At 39.5% G+C, this 5,944-nt stretch overlaps 1 annotated feature.

Moving 5' to 3' along the window:
* Positions 5,057-5,695: an enhancer, noted in NCBI's record as "OCT4-NANOG-H3K27ac hESC enhancer chr5:18393999-18394637 (GRCh37/hg19 assembly coordinates)". NCBI's record gives its function as "activates a minimal SCP1, AML or CMV promoter by ChIP-STARR-seq in naive H9 embryonic stem cells {active_cell/tissue: H9 hESC(naive)}" and the evidence as "EXISTENCE:reporter gene assay evidence [ECO:0000049][PMID:30033119]".

Below are 5,944 nucleotides of genomic sequence, written 5' to 3'. Positions count from 1 at the left end.
GCTCCTGAGTCTGGTGGGGCCTTGGAGAACCTTTATGTCTAGCTCAGGGATTGTAAATACACCAATGGGCACTCTGTATCTAGCTCAAGGTTTGTAAATACACCAATCAGCACCCTCTGTCTAGCTCAGGGTTTGTGAATGCACCAATCGACACTCTGTATCTAGCTATTCTGGTGGGGCCTTGGAGAACCTTTGTGTGGACACTCTGTATCTAGCTAATCTGGTGGGGATGTGGAGAACCTTTATGTCTAGCTCAGGGATTGTAAACGCACCAATCAGCGCCCTGTCAAAACAGACCGCTGGGCTCTACCAATCAGCAGGATGTGGGTGGGGCCAGATAAGAGAATAAAAGCAGGCTGCCCGAGCCAGCAGTTGCAACCCGTTAGGGTCCCCATCCACGATGTGGAAGCTTTGTTCTTTGGCTCTTTGCAATAAATCTTGCTACTGCTCACTGTTTGGGTCAGCATTGCTTTCATGAGCTGTAAGAGTCACCGCGAAGGTCTGCAGCTTCACTCCTGAAGCCAGCGAGACCACGAGCCCACCGGGAGGAAGGGACAACTCCAGACCCGCCGCCTTAAGAGCTGTGACACTCACCGCGAAGGTCTGCAGTTTCACTCCTGAGCCAGTGAGATTACGAACCCACCAGAAGGAAGAAACTCCGAACACATCCGAACATCAGAAAGCAACAATCTCCAGACGCACCACCTTAAGAGCTGTAACACTCACCACGAGGGTCCATGGCTTCATTCTTGAAGTCAGTGAGACCAAGAACCCACCAATTCCAGACACAATGGGACAAATAACAGTATATGATTAAACATGCAAGGATCATTATGAAAAACATCACTCACCATGCTTTTGGTTTGGAAGTTTACAGCTTCAACGTGTTTATTTCTTCACTCATAGTTCTTCCTCTCATTTTCCTGAAAGAGAAAAGAAAACTAATATTTATCATGCTTTATGATGACAGAAAGAACTAGGCATTGTTATTCATTCAAAGTGTGCTACGTTTTTCGTTTTTTTTGTGTAGACATTCATCTCATTAGTTAACAGAAATTTCCATTATTCACATTGTCCCAGTAAATCTTTTTTTGTCCTATATCTTTCAACACAGTCTCAGAAAACTTAGAGTAAATTATAAAAAGGATTATGATATATGTATACTATAATACATAGACAATTCATATGCAATAAGACATCTATTGGTCCAGATTTGGGAGGATCCTGTGGCCCACACCAAAGCAACAGGTATGATATTCAGACAACATTATTTCATTTTATTTGGGGGTGTGGATTTAGAATGCCTACAGCCTAGTATATTACATAATTCTACATTTGTTTGCTTCGTTTTCTCTATTTTGCATGTAGTTCCCCTAAAACATAAACAATGATTCTTAAAGCAATTCAGGCCAAGACTGGATTGGAATTCTTGCCAGCATAAGCACTCTGCACATATATTTAACTACTTTCTTCTTTCAACATTAGCTTAATACATTTCAGCTGCCTTGTAAATCACTTCCAGAAACTTATGTCAAATATAAATAACTCTACTTCCCACATAAGGATTTTTGTGTTTAAACAAGTATGCTTTATCCATTATAGCAAGGTCAAAAACAATTATGGAAAACAATCGATCAAAGTTACCATAAAAGTTTAAGGTTACCAAATGTGAAAATTCTGTGAAAAAATATAAATTATTGTGTATTTGCTGGAGGCCTGAGATTAAAGAAGTCTTCCATTTTAAGCCCACATCTTATTAAATAAGTACACTTTAGCCCATTTAACAATAAAATTTGTGACCTCCTTTGCAATAGGTAAAATCCAATTTCCTTTTCAGTCAAAGAAGTATTATACCAAATGTCTTTCTTCCCACTTGGTTGCTCTCTTTTATGACTCTGAGTTCATAAAGTAATTCCCTAGCCTGAGAAGAAAATAAACAAGTAAATGACGGCACTTAAGGAGCCCTAGGCATTGCACCTAGGATAATCTGCAATCTAACGTTTACCAAGCAATAGTAAGTTACAAAACATTTGCGCAACTTGCTCCTGGAGGGAGTTGAGAGCTAATTTGAATCCACTTTGTCTCATAAAGGAAACATCGTGTTCATAAAACCACAGAAACATTAGAAAAACAGCTGTTTCCCTTCAAAATAGAGCAGCCACATCAGGTATAAATTTCACCAAGGGTATGGCTTAATCAAATATTCCATATTATACAAAATACAATCCAATCTGAAGTTTCAAAACAAACAAATCATTATTTATATTTTCCTATCACAATAAAACTTATTACATGTTCTCAAAAAAATGCCATTTTTAAGTTACTTACTTTGAAAGTGAAAGCTCACTTATCTAATATTATAAAATTTAAAATATAATTAAAAATTGATTAGGAGACAATGAAAATATATCAGTAAAAATAGCTGACAATAAATTTACAACCCCCTCAAAAAATTACTATCTTAGAAATTTTAGTTCGGAATTTCTTCTGTCGACTTATGTAAAGGTTGGAATTAACTAAAAGAAAAGGTGCCTGTTTCTCTATGTATTTTCAGTATTAATAAAACCACAAATGAATGTATATATTTTTTATTAAAGGTAAAGGAAATAGAGTGTCAAATTATACAGTTGATTTTATATGTTATTTGTTATCGTGATTCAGCAAATAAGAAATTAATGCTTGGGAATGACTGTGTAAACAAACAAAAATTAACTAAATGCTGAAGCAGGTTATTAATTGAGAAATTCACAGTACATTAATAATGGCTGGCTCCGTTGTCAAATATTGAAAATATGTTTGGTGAGATAACTTACTCAAGCCTGATTTTGACAGACCAATAAAAGTATATAAATTAGGAAATGCTTGCATATAGCTATCTGGATTAAAAGGAAGAACAAAAAGGCTATCAAGAGAAAGAATAAAAAGAACATTCAAATAGATATTGTTACTACTAAACCTTGTCATTCTTAAAGATTGTAGCAAAATACATTCATTCTCGACTTTTACCTATCTAAGTAAGCAACAAATATTGCCACCTTCATTTTCAAAACAGATATGAAATCCAGTGATTTCTTAGGTCTTCCCTTATCACTACTTTACTGTAAGCCATTGTCTTTTCTCAACAGGATTGCTGCAGTGCTCTTCAAATGAACTCTCTATCCCTTCCCTTACTTGTTCATATACTACTCTCAATGCAGTCGCCCAATTTGTTTTTTTAAAACATAAGTCAAATTGCCATTTCAGAAACTTCCATTATCTCTCCTTTTCACTTAGATTGAAGTAAAGCACTTAGTGTGGGCCACAGGATCCTCCCGAATCTGGACCACCACTACTTCTCCGATCTCAAATCCTACCCTTTGGCTAATTTAATCCACAATAACCATCTGCGGTCCTGGCAAACATGGCGTGCTTTTCCCTCAGAGAGTCTCCACTTGCTGTTCCCTCTTCCTGGAAGGTTCTTTCCCAGGATATTTATGTGGCTTGCTTTCTAACATCTTTCAAGTTTAAATATCATCTTTTCCACGATGTTCATTCTACCACCTATTTAAAATGCAATTCCATCCATCAACACCTAGGAATTTCTGCTTTATTTTTCTTCGTAGCATTTCACAACACGTCAGTGCACTTCCATGCACTTTCCTGTTAATGAACGTGAATAGTTAGAGGTAGAATTTCAACAAGCACACCTTGTGACTCACTCTCCTTGGGGGGAGGACAAGAAAGGGATGCTACTATGACAAGGGGCAGGAAGCCCAGCAGCCCCTGCGGAAAGGCAAGACAGATGCGGCTTCGAAGCCAAGAAGTCCCCAAAACTGAATAAAGAGTATCAAAAATGAGAAACATGCTATTTGCTATTCAACATAGACCTTTGATTGAGCAAACATTAGAAGCTCCTCTGGTGGAAATTAAGTGGGCAGCTATTCTTAAAGAGAGTAAACACAAAGCCAGCTTGCTGTAGCATGAAGTCACTCTCTCCCTCGGTACCCTCTGATCGCTCCCTTTCCTCTGCATGGATCTCAGCTGCTTTAAAAAGAAAGGAGATTAGGCATGTTAAGATTAGCCTGAAGCTGCCTCCTTACATACTTTAAGTTCAGACTAAAGGTTTCTTTCTACATAGAAAACTGTAACCTAATAGGATGTGTAAGCAGACTGTAATCTACTCTTGTACCAATCAGTTTCAGGCAATCACAGACTGGCTAACTGTATAAACTGTGTTCAGATAAGGCAAATTCAGAGCTGTAACCAAATCCAGCTGTTTTCTGCACCTCTCTTCCCTTTTCTGTATGTCACTTTTCTTTTTCTGTCCATAAATATTATCTGACCACTTGACAGCCCCAGAGTCATGCTGAGCCTATTCTGGCTACTGGATTTGTGAATCGTACTTTGCTCAATTAAATTCCATTAAATTGAATTTATCTTAAGTTTTCCTTTCAACAATCAGTAGCCAAGATCTCCCTGTCCCTAAAGAACACTGAGAGCCATAGGCACCCTCTGGTTATATGTATGGGAACTTTGAAAAGGCAGGGATTCCAACTTTTATGTGTCTCTTGGATTCAGGTTATGTATTCACCTTCCTACCAGGTCTCAGGAGAAAAGAGAATGTTAGGAACAGACTAGCAAAAGCATTGAGGACTGCAGAACAACGCTGCAGTAGTCTGTGAAAGCAGAGATAAAAGGCCAAAGAGGGGAAAAAAATGTTTCCTTCCCATTATTTCTCTCAGGCCTTTGACATCCTTCTTCCTGCACTGCTCAGCATCCTGGCCATGGGATAACATGTTGCTGCAGAGTCAATTCATGCATATGTTAAACAACTTGGTCAGTGTTCACATTTTGGGGGCAAATGTTACCAAATTCAATTAATACAATTTTTACTAGTGAAGAGAAGTCAAAATGGTCTTCTTGATGGGGACCGGGGAACATTAGTACTTTAGTGTATGTCATTGCTGGGGGTGTCATTGTTACATTGTTACACTTTTACATTGTTGTATTTCCCATCCATTATGTGTAAGAGACAATAAATTCTTTCAATTCAAGGAATGCCACATCTAAGCATGTAGAGAAGCAATCTCTGTCCCCTCCGGATCGGTCCAGCAGAAACAACGCAGAATCCAGGTAGAAGAAAGAACTCAGCTCTAGTTAAAAAAACTAACTGCTGCCCAAACTCAGAGAAACCATTTCCCAGCTGAGTAGCGCCACCTGCCGGACTCTGCCCCCAAGTGCACAATGTTAAAAACAAACCAAAAAGGGCCGCTGGTCAGCGGCTTTCCTAACAATGAATTCCTGACTCACAGAGCCCATTTAGTCACGAGTCAATTCCTATTCAACAACTAACAAAGAAAGGGCCCCGTGATCCTCTCTGGAAAATGGAAATGCTGTATTCAAGAGCACACTATATTGTGGCCCTAGCGTCATCTCAGTTTTACATAAAAAAGTGTCAGTTGACATCTTTGGGGAAACTTGGCCCCTCACTCCACTTTCTGAAGCAAAACCTTTGGCTCCATGGGGCCCTCCATCTACAGTTGCTTTTAAATGACTGGGCCTGGGAACTGATTCTGCTCGACCAGCCTGGAGGGGACGGAGATCATCTCTTTACATGCCTAGATGTGGCATTCCCTGAATTGGGAGAATTTATTGTCTCTTATACATAATGGATGGGAAACGCAACAATGTAAACCTCATAACAATGACACCCCCAGCCATGACACACACAAAAGTACTTTCAATATGCCTCGGTCCCCACCAAGAAGATCCGCTCTTGTTATGCCAAGAGCTGCTGGTGTCATGCGGGTGGTAGCAGCAATCCAGCCCCAGCAATAGCTCTGGAAGGCTGCCTGTGCCTAAAGCCAGTGAGCACAGCGGGATGAGTTAGAAGTCCTTGCCTCAGGCAAGGCTCCTGAGGAGCTGGAAGGTTAGATTACTAACACATGGAGCCGTGTTCAATGAC

This window comes from Homo sapiens, chromosome 5 (assembly GCF_000001405.40).
Source record: "Homo sapiens chromosome 5, GRCh38.p14 Primary Assembly".
NCBI classification, from domain to species: Eukaryota; Metazoa; Chordata; class Mammalia; order Primates; family Hominidae; genus Homo; species Homo sapiens.
Note: the sequence above shows the minus strand (reverse complement) of the source record. Positions and strands in the feature narration are given on the sequence as shown.